Source organism: Homo sapiens, chromosome 2 (assembly GCF_000001405.40).
Source record: "Homo sapiens chromosome 2, GRCh38.p14 Primary Assembly".
NCBI lineage: Eukaryota > Metazoa > Chordata > Mammalia > Primates > Hominidae > Homo > Homo sapiens.
This window is the reverse complement of record NC_000002.12, coordinates 86,945,672-86,964,371: the sequence shown is the minus strand read 5'-3', so window position 1 is coordinate 86,964,371 and position 18,700 is coordinate 86,945,672. Positions and strand designations below refer to the sequence as shown.

Sequence of the window (18,700 nt, the reverse complement as noted above, 5' to 3'; positions counted from 1 at the left end):
AAGTTATGCAAGCTCATTAAAAAAAAAAGTCCGGGAATGGTGGCTCACGCTTGTAAATCCCAGCACTTTGGGAGGCCGAGGCAGGTGGATGACTAGGTCAGGAGATTGAGACCATCCTGGCTAACACAGTGAAACCCCGTCTCTACTAAAAATACAAAAAAATTAGCCAGGCATGGTGGTGGGCGCTTGTAGTTCCAGCTACTCGGGAGGCTGAGGCAGGAAAATGGTGTGAACTCAGGAGGTGGAGCTTGCAGTGAGCCGAGATCGTGCCACTGCACTCCAGCCTGGGCGACAGAGCGAGACTCCGTCTCAAAAAAAAAAAAAGGCCAGGCACGCCAGGCACAGTGCCTCGGGCCTGTAATCCCAGCACTTTGGGAGACCAAGGCAGGTAGATCACGAGGTCAAGAGATTGCGACCATCCTGGCCAACATGGTGAAACCCCATCTCTATTAAAAATACAAAAAATTAGCTGGGCTTGGTAGCACGGGCCTGTAGTCCCAGCTACTCGGGAGGCTGAGGCAGGAGAATCACTTGAACCCAGGAGGTGGAGGCTGCAGTGAGCCGAGATCACACCACTGCACTCCAGCCTGGCAACAGAGAGAGACTTGGTCTCAAAAAAAATAAAAAAATAAAAAATAAGAAAAGGTTTTATGTTTTCAAAGATTAATAGATATACTGTTACATATACACAATACAGCCATAAATGTTATATACATGTGTTTCAATTAACATGTTAAATTGCAATCATATTCTTCTATCATAGGCTATAAAGCCATTGCCCTACATCTACTTATTAGGATTTTGTCCAAGTAACACACCTTTTTGAATCAAGCTTTACCCATAATACGAGATTACATCTTTATCATGTTCCCAAAAATGGCAGAGTAAAAAGATCAAACTCTTCAAATTTGTCTACAAACAAATCATGGCAATGCAGGCTTTCGACAAGAGTGCACTCAACATCCCTGTTTCACCAGCCTCACCAGTATTGTGTATGCTTAGTTATTTTCCACTGTATCAAATTGACTATTTCATTTTAATTCCACAGTTTGTTCACATATTGTCATTACATACCAGAGCACACCTTCATTTAAAACACATCAAGACTCCGTGAAATGTCAATTGCTCCTACAAGTGGAAGACTTACCTGAAATGCTATGACATAGCACAATGCAGCCAGCTCAGAAAGAGCTTGCCATTGAACATTATTACCATGCTGACCCATCTTCAAGAGCAGAGAACCAGCATGCATGTAGAAATGTCCTTTCATTTCTAAGAAAGTAGCTGACAGTTCATCATTTCCACCCAAAGAAGATTTTGCAGACTGAAGAGCACTATCAAAACTGTAATATGAAAATATCAAACAGATGATACACACTTACTGCACTGTGAATAATCATGGTTCATTTAATTCAAAACAAAATAAAAATTTTATTTCAAGCTTCATCTTCCACATTCAACTTCTAATAATTCTTATTCCCCATGTTATAAATTATGAATCATCTAATGCTTATTTTTATCCTGCATACTTCCTATACTTCATGCTTAACCTCTCAAATGATGTCTTATTCCCAGTTATTTCCAGCCCTCCAATCACAGGATAAATATAAGATTAGTGATTATAGGTGCACATTTCAAAATAAACCAGGATAAAGTTGGGAGACTATTTTGTAGTTTCTTCCTGATCATATAATTTCATTATTTAATTAACAGTTGTAATTTCTCAAATTAGACATACCATTTCCAAATTATAAGTAAATAACTGACAGGTATTTGAGTATCAATACAGCAATTGCTCTTTTTACTATATAGATCATTACAGCGTTAAATAAATTGTCTTTTTTTTTTTTTTTTTTTTTTTTTTGAGACAGAGTCTCTCACTATCGCCTGGGCTGGAGTGTAATGGCACAATCTAAGCTCACTGCAACCTCCACCTCCCAGGTTCAAGTGATTCTCCTGACTCAGCCTCCTGAGTAGCTGGGATTACAGGCACCTGCCACCATGCCCCGCTAAACTTTTTTTATATTTTTAGTAGAGACAGGGTTTTACTATGTTGGCCAGGCTGGTCTCGAACTCCTGACCTCACGATCCGCCCGCCTCAGCTTACCAATGTGCTGGGATTACAGGCATGAGCCACTATGCCTGGCCTATTATTTGTAATCTATATTCTAAATTAGTTCTTCTAAATCCTAATGTTTCTCCAAATCCTCACTTTGGAAGAAAAGTAAAAGCAAAAAGCAAACACTTAAACGTGAAGCATGATTTTAAAGTGGCTTACAATAACGCAACCAGAGCAAATGAGGTCTAAAGATCTCTGAGGGTGCTCAAAAACCCCTTCAGGGGATCCATGAAGTTAAAATTACTTTTACAATAATACCAAAAAAAAATTTATATATTACATACTCATTTTCTCATGTATGTAGAGCTGAGTTTTTTTGTTTTTGTTTTTGGAGACAGAATCTCACTCTGTCACAAGGCTGGAGTGCAGTGGCACAATCTTGGCTTAATGCAACCTCTGACTCCCAGGTTCAAGCGATTCTTCTGCCTCAGCCTCCCGAGCAGCTGGGAATATAGGCGCGTACCAACATGCCCGGCTAATTTTTTGTATTTTTAGTAGAGACAAGGTTTCACCATTGTTAGCTGGGATGGTCTCGATCTCCTGACTTCGTGATCCACCCGCCTCGGCCTCCCAAAGTGCTGGGATTACAGGCCTGAGCCACCGCGACCCGCTGAGCTGAGTTTTCTAGAGGCTTCATGACATGTAATAGTTTTACAGACTGAAAGAGGAAGTAAATGAGAATCTAGCTATGTTCTATTAAGCGAGACATTAAAAAGATTTACAAAAATGCAAAAACAATGACACTTTTCTGACTACTTTTTTGCTGTTGGAAAATAATTATTTTTCATAAAAAATGCTATTATTGGCCCTGCGCGGTGGCTCACACATGTAATTCCAGCACTTTGGGAGGCTGAGGCGGGTGGGTCACCTGAGGTCAGGAGTTCAAGACCAGCCTAGCCAACATGGTGAAACCCCATCTCTACTAAAAATACAAAAAATTAGCCAGGCGTGGTGGTGGGCACCTGTAATTCCAGCTACTTGGGAGGCTGAGGCAGGAGAATCGCTTGAACCTGGGAAGCAGAGGTTGCAGTGATCCGAGATCACACTGTTGCACTCTAGCCTGGGCAACAAGAGCAAACTCCGTCTCAAATAAAAAAAAAAAAAAAAAAAAAAAAAGCTATTATTATTAACACACAATAGGGCTTATTACATTTTTAATGGATTACATTTTTTATTTGTTTTAATTTCTAATGTAATAAACACTGACAGAAATAACCCACATACGGCCAGGTGCAGTGGCTCAGACCTGCAATCCCAGCACTTTGGAAGGCCAAGGCAGGCGGATCACGACGTCAAGAGATTGAGACCTTCCAGTACTTTGGGAGGCCAAGGTAGACAGATCAAGAGGTCAAGAGATCGAGACCAGCCGGGCGCGGTGGCTCATGCCTGTAATCCCAGCACTCTGGGAGGCTGAGGCAGGCGGATCACAAGGTCAGGATATCAAGACCATCCTGGCTAACACAGTGAAACCCCATCTCTACTAAAAATACAAAAAATTAGCTGGGTGTGGTGGCGGGCACCTGTAGGCCCAGCTACTCGGGAGGCTGAGGCAGGAGAATGGCATGAACCCTGGAGACAGAGCTTGCAGTGAGCCGAGATGGCACCACTGCACTCCAGCCTGGGCAACAGAGCGAGACTCCGTCTCAAAAAAAAAAAAAGATCGAGACCATCCTGGCCAACATGATGAAACCCTGTTTCTACTAAAAATACAAAAATTAGCCAGGTGTGGGCTGAGCGCGGTGGCTCACGCCTGTAATCCCAACACTTTGGGAGGCCGAGGAGGGCAGATCACGAGGTCAGGAGATCGAGACCATCCTGGCTAACAGGGTGACACTCCGTCTCTACTAAAAATACAAAAAAATTAGCCGAGCGTGGTGGTGGGCGCCTGTAGTCCCAGCTACTCAGGAGGCTGAGGCAGAAGAATGGCGTGAACCTGGGAGGTTCACAAGGGGGGGTAACAAAGGGCCCATGAGTCCTGATTAACTGATCTGACAAACCATCTGTCACCCACCACCCTAAGCCACACTGTGAAACTGCCTAGGGTGGCACCAGCTTTTTATCTTCCTCAGGGTCCTCCCCTCAGGCCCCCAGTCACCCCCTCATGGTCCGGATTCTCCCCTGAGTGACTCCATCCCCATGGTCATCTCCCCTCCTGAGCCTCCCCCTCTGAGGGCCAAGGGCTGTCCTCAGGGCCCTCCTGGGGCTTCCTGGTGGGGAACAACCTGAGGCAGGAGGATAAGCTCTTATTCAGAGCATTGAGAGGAAATTGTGAAGCTTGCAGTGAGCCGAGATTGCGCCACTCTACTCCAGGCTGGGTGACAGAGCGAGACTCTGTCTCAAAAAAAAAAAAAATTAGCCAGGTGTGGTGTCGGGCACCTGTAGTCCCACCTATTCAGGAGGCAGAGACAAGAGAATCACTTGAACCCAGGAGGCAGAGGTTGCAGTGAGCCGAGACTGCACCACTGCATGCCAACCTGGCGAGAGCAAGACTCAGTCTCAAAAAAAAAAAAAGAGAGATTGAGACCATCCTGAACCCCGTCTCTACTAAAAATACAAAAATTAGCTGGGCGTGGTGGTGTGCGCCTGTGGTCCCAGCTACTCAGGAGGCTGAGGCAGGAGAATCGCCTGAACCCGGGAGGCGGAGGTTACAGTGAGTCAAGGTCATGCCACTGCACTCCAGCCTGGTGACAGAGCAAGACTCCATCTCAAAAAAAAAAAAAAAAACAAAACAAAAAAGAAAGAAAGAAAGAAAAAAAGGAACCCACATACAAAGATCTTTGATGTCCTTAAGAAAAATGTAAAAGGAACTTGTGACCAAAAAATTTGAGTATACAAAGAACACAAAATAAAACATCCTACATGTTTTCTAAAATAATCTTAAAGTTATGTTAGTTCTTTTAGATACTGCTCTTACCCTACCAATTTAGGACACTATGTACTTTTTCAAGAAAATTACCTACTCCCTGCACTCAGTGAAATGAACTTCTTTCCTTATACCAGATGGGGAAATAAATTAACTTCCAAACAAATGGACAGCCTAAACTAGCAATCAGTAAACTTTTTCTACAAAAAGGAGGAGATTACTAATCTGGCTTTACAGGCATACAATCTCTGCTGCAACCACTCAATTCCAACCTTGTAGTATGTAAGCAGCCACAGACAATACATAAACAGAGGCATGTTGCATTCCAATAAATATTAACAAAATTAGGCAGGGGCCATATTTGGCCCACAAGTTCTAACCAACCCCTGCTCTAAACTAACATTTTTATACAAATCCAAGTGATGTTTTTGTTCAATGGAATTTATTTTCAAAATGGAGACACTGGTTTTCAAAATCAAAATTTAGGAAAAAAGGTAAATCACATAGTTGAGTTATTTTGTTTCTTAGCTAAAACAGTATTTTCTGAAATACCAGTGATGCTAAGTGCTTATACTAGTACATGTGAACCTAGCCATCTGATGACAGATGAACCTTAATTTTCACTCAAGATTATACTATTATAAAAAATAAAATATGAAATAGCAGTTAGAACATTCATTTTAAGCTTGACTATGACAAACCTGAGTATTTAACCATAAGGCTAATTTTAATCAAGCTTGAACTATAAGAGTTCTCTAAAAAGGAAAGTCATATAAAACCAATTAGAACTTCCCCGTAAAAGAAGAAAAATAAGATTGCCTCCTAGTGGTTCACTGTATTAACTATAACTCCTAGGTACATTATAGAAATAATGATGCAGTAAAGAAATTTAGAGCAATGAACTTACTGCAAAAAGAAAAACTACAATTTATACTAAAGCATTCTCCTCAAAGTCAACGCACCTTTCCAGTAATTCTCTACTTTCCTGCACATCTCTAGTGGAAAGCGTAAGAAGCATAAGATTAGCATAGGCCAGCAGTAAGTCTGTATTGGTTGCTCGCCAGTCACTTTTATCAGACTCCAAACACTGTAAAGACTCCAGATATTCCTATTTTGTGGAATGAATAGTAAGTTACAAAACTTAATCAAGTGTTAAGAAATTAACCATTTTATGCCTACAAATTCCTTTTCTCACTCTAACCACGTTTGTGAAACTACATTGATTTTTACATCAACCTTATAAATGAAAACACCAAAAATATATACATTTATCATAGTTATCTCCCCAACTTTCCCATTATAAATTTAACTGATCCTGGTAAAAATTTCATTTTATAACTGTTCTACCTAAATAAAAGAAATTTAAGTCCTGCGGGGCACTGCTGCTTTAGTACAAAAAGATGTATGCTAATTGCCTACATAGAAATGTAAAGACCCAATAGCTTTTATCTACCTTAAGGGTCTGTACAACACACGAATTCCACTCTAAACTTGAACGCAAAGCTATGTTCCTCTCTGCCTCATGGCAGCGGGCCACAGCATCCTTCAATCTTTTATTTGAGCGATACAACTCCACTAGCCGGATGTTCATATGGACGTCATCAGGTCTTACATAAAGTTCTGACTGAATCCAGTCAAAAAGTTTATTCCATCCATCTTCACCTTCACAATCTAGAAGATGTTCCTATTTAGAGGGGAAAAAGAAAAATTATTAGAGTAACACTTGTGCAATTTTAAACAAGTCATGCTCCCAAAAAGCACCATTCCACTATGTCTAGTTTTATGATGATGCCACCAAAAACACCATCCTATATACCTTATTCGTCCCTTCTGAGAGTTGCTTACAACCCAGAAACTAAGCCTCAAGAACTGTATGTGAAGAAAAGCATCTGTGATTACTGCAGTAGCTCATACTCTCTTCAGAGACTACCAGGACTATTGCCACACATCCCTGTCCATCTGAGTCACCACCAGAAGCCTAGACCTCCCCAGTCAATCCTCAGCAACAAGGTCCTTATGCTCAAACTGCTCTGTATCTCCTTAAATCTGACTCAATCCCACATCCCCTCTCCTCCCACTGTTCTGTTACCTTCATCATCATCTCAAAGCACTGTCATCACCTCCTGATCTTAAATGAAGACAGTATCATCTCAGGATAACCCCCACTACCATGATGGCTTTTTCTCTCTGAACTTACATACAAGGAGAGGAAGTAGGGTTTGTGGCCACTCGCTTCTCATTTGCGATGCTCTTCCATCAGCCTCTCAAGAAGCTAGGACCATAGGCATGCACCACCATGCCCGGCTAATTTTTTTTTAACGTTCTGTAGAGATGGGGTCTTGCCGTGTTGCCCAGGCTGACTACTCAGTTCCTTAATCACCTCATCTCCAGTCATGTTATCCTCTACTCCAACCTCAACCATCCACTTGCCACTGACACAGGTCTTCAAAATCTGCATTTTGGTCATACCACCGAAACGACCATACCATCCTTCTTATTCTTCCACCTCACTGAGGGCCTACGTACCCTTACTTTCAGAAATATACTTCTCCACCACATGACAAGTTCCCTTCAAGACAATAACATCATCAAGTTTTAAGCACCTGTAAACACATATACACACACTTTCTTCTGTCAGGCAAAAAATGCTATAATCCCTTATATCCATAATTACTGTTTGCTTACAGATCCCTTCAACTAATTCCCTCTTTTCCTCAGAACCCTCCCAACTGGTTTCTGTGTGCTTAGATTTGGGAAATCATAACCCCAAGCTAACTGATTTCATTTGCATTATCTCAACCATCAAACTGGTGCTGCCTAAAACAAAATGCCATTTTAGTACTAACAGACTCACTTTCTCCACTCCCTGACACTTCACACCTCCTCCTATTTCCTCAACTTCCCCATACCTTCCTTTGACCCTCACTTTCAACTTATAACCTAGATTCATCCTTCACTGAGAAACCTGATGCTATCACATATAAATTCCATTTTACCTTACCTACTTAAACTCGTCTTTCCCCAGCTCTCAAGACCAAGCCGTCCATTACTACTCTGTATTTCATTCCCCTCTCTCCTTTATCAATTTCTCCTCTTCTGGATGAGATGGATGATACCCTGGTCTCTCCCTATTGCAAAAGCCCTAGTCTTTGACTCTATGTTAAACATTTTTTAAAAAACCACTATGAGTGCTTTTAAAAAGTTCTATCTCATACTTGAGAGAAAAAGCCTTCTCAACAGTAATACTCTCATTCATTAAACAAATGTCAGAAACTGTTTACCTTAGCAAGCCTTAAATTTTAGGAGAAATGGAATTACTTTGCATGACAATTATAAATCTCATGGATTTCAATTCCAAAAAAAAAAAAAATCTGATACAGGAAAGGTGTTAACAGTGCCTTCAAGTTATTAAAGAAAATCTTTAAAGAGTGCTTCAAAGTATCTTACTTGTTACACTGCAAGAAAACAATCTCCTGCCATTACATATGTTCTTTAACACTACTGACACCAGATTAACTGGATTGCCACGCCCAATATGGGAGTTATGTTTGAGGCATAACACCTAAGAGAGTAAAGAAATCTGCACAATTAGACCTCATGTTTTAGACTAATATTTAAAATCCAGCTGCTTATTACTGGGGAGAAAAACTTATCAGTAATATTTATCTTTGGAAGCATCTTCAATGCTTTTTCAGCTTCAAAAATCTGGACATGATTGTTCATAGCAGTTGAACAACAGCCAAAACCTAGAAATAACCAAAATGCCCCTCAAAAGTGAATGGTTAAGGCTGGGCACAGTGGCTCACACCTGTAATCCCAGCACTTTGGGAGGCCAAAGTGGGTGGATCACCTGAGAACCCGGGAGGCAGAAGTTGCAGTGAGCCGAGATAGCACCACTGCACTCCAGCATGGGCGACAGAGCAAGACTCTGTCTCAAAAAAATAAAAATAAAAAAAGTGAATGGTTAAATTGTGGACCATGAAATGCTACTCAGAAGTAAAGGAACCAACTATGGATATACAAAACTTAATATGGATCACAAATGGTATTATGCTGACTGAACAAGCCAACCTCAAAAGGTCACATGCTTGGCTGGGCGCGGTGGCTCACGCCTGTAATCCTAGCACTTTGGGAGGCTGGGGTGGGCAGATCACATGAGGTCAGGAGTTCGAGACCAGCCAGGCCAACATGGTGAAACCCCGTTTCTGCAAAAATACAAAAATAAGCGGGACACGGTAACATGTGCCTGTAGTCCCAGCTACCCGGAAGGCTGAGGCAGGAGAATTGCTTGAACCTGGGAGGCACAGGTGGCAGTGAGCCGAGATTGCGCCAGTGAACTCCAACCTGGGCAACAGAGCGAGACTCCGTCTCAAAAACAACGAAAAAAGAAAAAAAAAAGTCACACATTTCATGATGACATTTACATAACATTTTGAAATCACCAAAGTATAAAGATGGAGAACAGATTAATGGTTGCCAGAGGTCAGGCATAGTGAAGAGAAGTAAATAGCATGACTACAAAAGGGGCAGCATGAGGAAGATCTCTGTGGTAATAGAGTAGCTCTGTATCTTGACAGTAGTGGTGGTATGAATCTACACATGATAAAATGAAAGAAAACTATACATACACATTGTACCAATGTCAAAATTCCTGATTTTGATATTGTGCTTTGGTCGGGTTAAACAGGTTGAGTATCCCCTATCCAAAATGCTTGAGACCAGAAGTATTTCAGATTTTGAATTTTTTCAGACTTTGGAATATTTGCAGGATACTTAGCAGGCAGAGCATCCCAAATCTGAAAATCTGAAATCCAAAATTTTCCAATGAGCATTTCTTTGAGCATCATGTCAGTGCTCAAAAAATTTCAGATTTTGGAGCATTTAGGATTTCAGATTTTAAATGCTCAACCTGTATAAGCATTGGGGAAAAATGAAGTAGCATATAGGATCTTTCTGTGCAATCTTTGCAACTTCCTGTGCAAAAAAATCTATAATTATTTCAAAATTAAAATTTTTTAAATTTCTATCAGAAACATATACAATGGGGGTAGGAGGAGGCTAAAGGCAAATATACATTTATAATTTTATATTGTACATACACAATAAAGTATACATTAATATATAAAATATTACAATATACATTTTAAATGTTTGCCAAACATATTTGTGTAGATTTTCTCCAGAACAGTTACTTAGTAAACTATATTTTGCTCTATAAAGAATATCAGGACCAGTCAATACACTAGCAAGAACTTCCTACCATTTTTAGTAATTACATCTTATATACTAGAGAAACCACCTTTTATCTTTTCCTTGAAAACTTTACTATCTCAAAATACAATCCCTTCTACTTTCAGACCATAGTTATTAGAAAACTCTTCTTTAAAATATCCCTAAATTGTCATCCTGTAGGTAATTTTCACTTAATGAAGCAAAAATTGTATACCAGACAGAACTTAATGTAAATCTTAGCTCTACTTAGTTTACAGCTACTAAACTGTAAAATCCCTAAAATATTAATTATTCCAGAAGGGTAAATGAGATGTCACTTATAAAGTATAACAATGCCTAATAAGACAGCAGATGCTCAGAAAGGTTTTAATACACTTTTTAAAAGAAAAATGTTAAAGGAAACACAAACACCTGGGCTTAAGGTTTGCTATTGAAAAGTAATTTAAACTCCAAATATTAGAAATGGTTATGTCTTAAGTTTTCTCCCTTTATGTTTTGTATGTTTACCTTTAGTTTATAAATTGCAGGACTTCCTGGGAAAAGTTTCGCTGCCCTTTCAACCCAGTATTTTGCTCTTCCATCAGTAACATCATTTTTACAAAGCAATTCTGCAATCTTCAACACAAGATCTTTTTGTGGTGGGTTTAATTCCAGTGAACGCTAATATCAGAAAAGAAATTAAAGATTAGTAAATAAATTGTATGTATGTATGTAGGAGTATATATACTTATATACTTATATATAAAGGTTAAAAATTATCACTCCAACCCTTAAAAAATTCTACTTCTAGAGAAAACATGTTACTTCAAAGGTGTTAAAATAAAAGTGTCTTGGAATTTTCTGGAAATGAATCAAATAAAAATTATATTTGTGTCATTTGAATGCAAAAGAACACAAAAGAACACCATTTCTGACCATGTTAGACTTACAATTTATAGGTGTTAAACAATTCTAAATCTGTTCCAAGCTGTGTCACATAATTGTACTATGATACCAATGCCTGTTTTATGATATTCATAAAATATATTTGACTTACTTATATAAATTTCTCTGGGCATCATGTGTTTGGCTATGCAAAGGCTATATTTGAATCCTATAACTTACCCTGTAACATTCAACGGCTTTCTCTGTGTTTTCTTCCAATTCATAAAGAAGACCCAGAAATCTGTGAGCTCTGGGATCCCTCTCTTGCACACTAAGGTAAGTACATACGTATCTGTTTTTCAAAAGTAATACAAAAGTAAATTAAACTTAGAACTGTACTTTTAAATGCTAACCGAAGAATACATCTTAAACCAAAGCAACCACTAAACTCGTTTATATTGTTACTCAAAACTACCACTATTTATGCAGATAACTCAGAAGTATTCATAGAAAGAAATGGGTAATACTTAAAAACACGTACATAGAGTTGACCACATACTCGTTTTACCATTAAATGTCACATTTACCAAATTTTTCTCCAGTGTTATCCACGCATAAGAAATGAACATATAAATTGCTTTTTCTTCCTGATCACATTTTAATAAAGCACTAACAGTTTTGCAAATAAATTAGAAGTGATTATAGTAAACATTTTTAAAGTTATCATAATGCAAAATACTAAACAGCAACAATTTCCCAAACAACAAAGGGAAATACACCTACCCTTTAAGCAAGAAAGTAATTTCTAACAGTACTATATCCAGCTAAAATCGAACAGAAGACAAATTACTAATTACAGTACCAAATACAGGAAATTTCCATTTCTCAAATCAAGTAACAACTAAAATAAGTAAATATCCTCTAGGTTCCTTGACAGTATTACCATCAGAGAAATTAGGCCAGACCCAAACTAAGGGATTAAAGTCTCACAGTAAAAAGGTACAAGAGTTAACAGTCACAGTGCTGCTAGTTACATAATTTATGTACCACCATTTTCCTTTCTTACCAGCATTTCCATCTTCCTTTGGATGCCTTTAAAAGCCTGCCTCCCAGCTGGGAGCAGTAACACACACCTGTAGTCCCAACAGTATGGGAGGCCGAGGCAGGCAGACTGCTGTGCTCAGAAGTTCAAGACTAGCCTGGGCAACATAGTGACACCTGTCTCTACCAAAAAATGCAAACCTTAGCCAGGTGTGGTGGTGCTCATCTGTATCCCCAGCTACTTGGGGCGCTGAGGTGGGAAGATCTCTTGAGCCCAGAAGGCAGAGGTTACAGTGAGCAAAGATGGAGCCAGCTGCTGCACTCCAGCCTGAGCAAGAGAGACAGATACTGCCTAAAAAAAAAAAAAAAAAAAAAAAAACCCTGCCTCCCTCTTAATTTCCTGCTTTAATCCACTCCCAGTCAGGAAATCAGAATCACCAAGCTTCTTATCCCTAGGATAGAGCCTTAGAGCATCACATATTGTGTCAATTAAAGATCTTTTATACAAGCTATTCTCCTGCCTTACAATTACAGTTTTTTATTCATTGCTATTTTCCATCTGATTAAGGTATCAGATATCTAACCAAAAACAAATGAAGATATAGGCATGGTCCTCTTTTACTCCAACAGAAGACAATTTTTAGAAAAAGTGTTTTAAGCCAAACAATTTCTTGCCCTTGGTATAAAGCAGCAGCATGCAGAAAACACTAATTACGGTTTCAATCTCAATGGAATCTAGGCTGGTCCTTAGCATCAGTCTGAGTGATAAATCCCTTATTCCAGAATACACTTAGGAAGAACTACTAAGAACATATTTTTACCTATTTCAAAGAAGAAAATGAGAAAAGGCATTGATTTTAAAAAAAGAATACATGTTACAGTTTGTACTTACTTTTTAGCAAGATCATATTCTTTAGCTTCATAATACAGCTTTGCAAAATAGAATCCTCTCAACTTCTAAAAAAAATTAAAAGTTGTTTTACGTTTCATACAGAAATATTCTCCAACATTTTTTCAAAAGTAGTAAAAATCTGCCCTAAGTTTATGTTCAAATATGCCATTTTCATTCACTTAAAAGTTTTTTTTAAAGCCTGACAAATGCATAATTCCATGTTTTATAATTTCCTATCACAAAACAAAAAATAGAGCTGGGTGCAGCGGCTCATGCCTGTAATCCCAGCACTTTGGGAGGCCGAAGTGGGCGGATCACCTGAGGTCAGGAGTTTGAGACCAGCCTGGCGTTATAACATGGTGAAACTCCGTCTCTACAAAAATAGAAAAATTAGCCAGGCATGATGGCGGGTGCCTGTAATCCCAGCTACTCGGGAGGCTAAGGCACGAGAATCAGTTGAACCCAGGAGGTGGAGGTTGCAGTGAGCCAGAGGTTGCAGTCAGCTGAGATCGTGCCATCGCACTCCAGCCTGGGCGACAGAGACTCCATCTCCCAAACATCATCATCATCGTCATCATAAATAAGCTGGGTGCAGTTGGTCACACCTTTAATTCTATTTAATTCTAGCACTTTCAGAGACCAAGGTGGGAGGCTAGCTTTGAGGCCAAGAGTTTGAAACCAGCCTGTGCAACACAACAAGATCCTGTCTCCAGGGGGAAAAAAATAGCCAGGCATAGTGGAGCATGCCTGTGTTCCTAGCTACTCAGGAGGCCAAGGAAGGAGAATCACTTGAGCCCAGGAGGTTGACACTGCCGTGAGTTATGACTGTGACACTGCACTCCAGCCTGGGTGACACAGGGAGATCCTGTCTCTAAATAATAAATACATAACATACAAAAAATAAATTCAAGAAAGCAAGACAAGCAGACAACAGAAGTTAAGAATTTTCATCAGCCTTGGAAATCTTGGAAACCCTGTGGTACCACTCTCTCACTTAACAAACAAAAGAAACCAGCTTTCTTTGGGGAGGAAAGGTATTCCAGAAATCTCTTCTCCTACCATGTGTAAGCCTCTATGGGAAAGAATAAGTAAGTACTTACGATCTATTAAGGCACTGAGGATTCCCTGTGCCTTAATAGTACATGTACTGTTCTCTCTACAGATCAGATCAGTATTTTACAGTCAAGGAGTCAAAAAGGCAGAAATAAATATTGAATTCTTCAAGTAATAAACAAGGTCCACAGCCTGGCTCCTTGGTTACGTAAACTCCAAAGTCCAAAATGCTGATGCACACCAGGCTGGGTGCGGTGGCTCACACCTGTAATCCCAGCACTTTCGGAGACTGAGGCGGGTGGATCACTTGAAGCCAAGAGTTCGAGACCAGCCTGGCCAACATGCAGAAACCTCCTTTCTACTAAAAATACAAAAATTAGCTGGGCATGGTGGCACACGCCTGTAATCCCCGCTGCTTGGGAGGCTGAGGCAAAGAATCGCCTGAACCCGGGAGGCAGCAGTGGGCCAAGACCGCACCACTGCACTCCAGCCTGGGCAACAGAATGATTCCATCTCAAAAAAAAAAAAAAAAAAAAAAAAAAAAGCTGATACAACCAGAGTATGTTCCATCCATGTGATAAAGAGTATACAGCCACTCAAACATCTTATTTTTGAAATTCCAAGACCCCAGTGAATGTCCAAAACGATGAACAGTATCAAACCAGGTTGCCATCAATCGAAACATGTTTCCTGTTTGTGTCCTCCACCCACAAATTTAATGTCTTGTCCATCTCAACAAAGCACTTATCACACACTGTGGCTGTAACTTTTGCAGTTTGGGGTGTCACAACAAAACTAGCACAAATTTCTTTTTCCTTCTTCACAATTTCATGGACAAAAGATTTGTTCTTACCGTAGATCTTAGCAACCCCAGTATACGATCTTTTTTCTTTCCTAAGTCAAAAACTCACCTCTTCACTTAAAGGAAGCACTATATGGCTTCTCTCTGGCATATGTGAACTGCCAGCATCGCTATTCTTGCTCTTTGGTGCCATTTTAAATAAAATAAGGGTTACTTGAACACAAGCACTGCAATACTCCAACAACTGATCTGATAACTGAGATGGCTAGTATGTAACTAGCGGGTGGGGAGCACATACAGCATGAATATATTGGACAAAGGGATGATTCGTGTCCTGGGTAGGACGGAGCAGGAGGCTGTGAGATTTTTATCATGTTATTCAGAACTGTTTGCAATTTAAAACTCATGAAATGTTTATTTATATAATCTTCCATTCAATATTTTTGGACCACGGGTGACGCAGGTAAGTAAAACCACGTAAGGCAATACTGTGGATAAGAAGGGACTACTGTACCAGCAACGAACAATCAGAAAAGGAAATTAAGAAAGCAATTCCATTTACAATCGCATCTAAATGAAAAAAATGCCTGGGAATAAATGTAAACAAGGAGGTGAGAGACTTGTATGCTTAAATTACAAAACGTTGCTCAATGCCAGGCTAACACCTGCAATCCCAGCACTGGCGACAGAGCAAGACTCCATCTCAAAAAAAAAAGAACTATAGCAATCTTAACAAAAATAATACACAACAGTCAGGACAGCACATAAAGGAACAAGGCTTGTTCCCCGCTTCCTTTTTTTTTTTGAGATGGAGTCTTGCTCTGTCGCCAGGCTGGAGTGCGGTGGCTCGATCTCAGCTCACTGCAACCTCTGCGTCCCGGGTACAAGCTGGGACTACAGGCGCACGCCACCATGCCCAGCTAATTTTTGTATTTTTAGTAGAGATGGGGTTTCACCATGTTGGCCAGATGGTGTCGTTCTCTCGACCTTGTAATCTGACTTCCTCCGCCTCCGAAGGTGCTGGGATTACAGGCCTCAGCCACCGAGCCCGGCCAGTTCCCCCTTTTCAAAATGAAGAAATAGATTCAAGGTACAATGCCAAAACATAATAGAAAAATAATTCCATTACCTTCTTTGCTTCCAACTATGTTATTAAAGTAGACAATCTTAAGATAATTAAACAACTTTACAAATTATTCTTCTGTATGATCTTTTGCCTCTAACCTCACTTTACAAGGGAACTGAAGCTCAAGCAGGCAAATGCCTTGTTTAAAGATATACAGCTAGGAAGGAGCACAGCCCACGTTATGTAAACAGGACAATATCTGATTCAAGCAGTACTTCTTTACATGACAGCAGATGTCACTATAAGCAAATACCTGAATTCACTTAAGCTGCCAAATATCAAGAACTGATGCAGGGCTGAAAACAGGAACAGTAAGACCCTAAGAGATGCCACATCATCGCTATCTTGCACAGTAAGATAGAGATGTAATTGTAATTGTCCAAAACTTAACATTTGTGGCCTACTTTTTCATTATGCAGTTCTAAATTTCTCTCTCTTTTTTTTTAATTCAAACGGAGTCTCGCTCTGTCGCCCATCTTGCACAGTCAAATGAATCTCCCTCCCCCTAAAATCCTCCAAAAAAGCTGCTGTTCTCAACAAACCGATCTGATCAGCTCCAAATCTGTGGAGTCCCAACAAGGGTGAAGGCCGTGATTATACAGGACAATGAGGAAAAGTCTAGATACTGAAACATGAATTCCCCAATCTTCTTCCCCTGGAACATAAGGGTAAGGAAATCTCTCAAAAGGCAGAACAAACAAAAGAGGAGAATAAGAGAAAAATTAGAGAAACTCCAGCTTTCAGGTAAACATCATTAAAAAAAGGGTAAGAAATGGTCAAAGAAATAATACAAGAAACGCTACAGAACTGAAAGAAATGAGTTTCCCAATTGAAAGGACACTTCCAGAAAACCTTTGTTACCAAGAACAAGACTCTCATCAGACTCCTAACAACAGAACTTCTGGAAAATGGAGCAATGCTTTCAAAATTGCGAAAAAAATTATTTCAAACTCAGAATTCGATAACCAAATGATCAACTAAATTAAGTAAAGATGTTTTAAAGACATACCATTAGTTTCCAGACCAGCCTGAACAGTATGGTGAAATTCCATCTCTACTAAAAATAGAAAAAATTAGCCGGGCATGGTGGCGCACACCCGTAATCCCGCTACTCGGGAGGCTGAGGCAGGAGAATCACTTGAACCCGGGAGGCGGAGGTTGTGGTGAGCTGAGACCATGCCACTGCACTCCAGCCTGGGCAACAGAGCAAGACTCTGTCCCAAAACAAAAACAAACAAAAAAACCTCTCATCCACTTTTCCTCAAAGCAAGTGAACTATGCTACACCAAAACAAAGAAAGTAAATGAAGATGACATGAGATACAAGAAACAAAGGGTCTAACTCAGAAAAAAGATGAAGGGAATTCTCAAACTGGTGATAAAGGGAAGTCCCAAGAGCACAGCTGTGTAGCAAAGAGGAAGAAAAACCAATCTGGGTTGGAGAAGTCGGTTAGTAAGGGTATTCCAGGTAGACAGACAATCAATCAATCAATCAATCAATCAATGTTTTAAGCTGAAATTGATCGGATTATGTGACCAGTTTGACCACATTTGAGGGTTTAAGTTGCTGAGTTTAAGTAACCAAGTAGTAACACAACATACAAGCAAACCAAAAAATAAAGCAATTATTCAGTCCAGGAAAAACAAAACTGCACAACAAGGGCAATTCAAATGCAAAATATTTACCTTATATTTATATAAATGTTAAATATTCATTTAAACAAAAACTCCAATAACAGTACTGAAACAATGAGGGGCAAAGCAAAGTGTCTGAGGACAGTTTTGGAGGAGCATAATAGCCAGTACAGAATGTCTAAAGTGGGGCCGGGCGCGGTGGCTCACGCCTGTAATCCCGGCACTTTGGGAGGCTGAGGCGGGCGGATCATGAGGTCAGGAGATCGAGACTATCCTGGCTAACACGGTGAAACCCCGTCTCTACTAAAAATACTAAAAAATTAGCCGGGTGTTGTGGCGGGTGCCCGTAGTCCCAGCTACAGGCTGGGGCAGGAGAATGGCGTGAACCCCGGAGGCAGAGTTTGCAGTGAGCCGAGATCGCGACACTGCACTCCAGCCTAGGCCATAGAGCGAGACTCTGTCTCAAAAAAAAAAAAGAAAACAAAATGTCTAAAATGGGAGAAAGGGAATTCAAAATAACAAAAGTATATGTGTGTGTTACTCAGAAGCATGAAGTATAGATGTAAAGGGCAGAAAAAACAACTAACAGCTGTCAAAGGTGCCTGCCTGTAGTCCTAAGTACTCAGGCAACAGAGGTAGGAGGATCATTTATGCCCAAAAATTTGATGGCAGCCTGGACAACACAGCAAGACCCTATTCTAAAAAACAAATAAATAAAAATAAGAGCTGTCAAGTAGAGTTTGAGAAGTAGGAATCAGCTGCAGAATAAGAAACCAACTTGACAGAACATAGAAAAACTAAACAGAAGCCATCTGGAAAAAGAAAAACTAGAGAAAGAATTATATATTTTTTTATTTTTTTATTTTTTGGAGACAGAGTCTCGCTCTGTCACACAGGCTGGAGTGCAGTGGCGCAATCTCTGCTCACCACAACCTCTGCCTCCAGGGTTCAAGCAATTCTCCTGTCTCAGCCTACCGAGTAGGTGGGACTACAGGCGCTGCCACCACGCCCGGCTCATTTTTGTATTTTTAATAGAGACGGATTTTCACCATGTTGGTCAGGCTGGTCTCTCTG

General features: G+C 40.1%; 1 protein-coding gene across 10 annotated transcripts in view; it reads right to left on the bottom strand.

The window, feature by feature from the left end:
• RGPD1 (RANBP2 like and GRIP domain containing 1) overlaps window positions 1-18,700 on the bottom strand; it is a 100,318-nt gene that overhangs the window by 49,605 nt on the left and 32,013 nt on the right. For all 10 annotated transcript variants that reach the window (XR_007074605.1, XR_007074622.1, NM_001410915.1 and 7 more), the window contains 6 exons: window positions 13,012-13,076; window positions 11,319-11,430; window positions 10,722-10,874; window positions 6,436-6,666; window positions 5,945-6,090; window positions 1,148-1,343 (listed from right to left, as the gene is read on the bottom strand). Coding sequence is in view for 8 of the 10 variants with exons in the window: in NM_001410915.1 (NP_001397844.1) it covers window positions 1,148-1,343; window positions 5,945-6,090; window positions 6,436-6,666; window positions 10,722-10,874; window positions 11,319-11,430; window positions 13,012-13,076 (903 nt within the window). In the remaining 2 variants the exon portion in view is untranslated. The remainder of the gene's footprint in view (window positions 1-1,147; window positions 1,344-5,944; window positions 6,091-6,435; window positions 6,667-10,721; window positions 10,875-11,318; window positions 11,431-13,011; window positions 13,077-18,700) is intronic.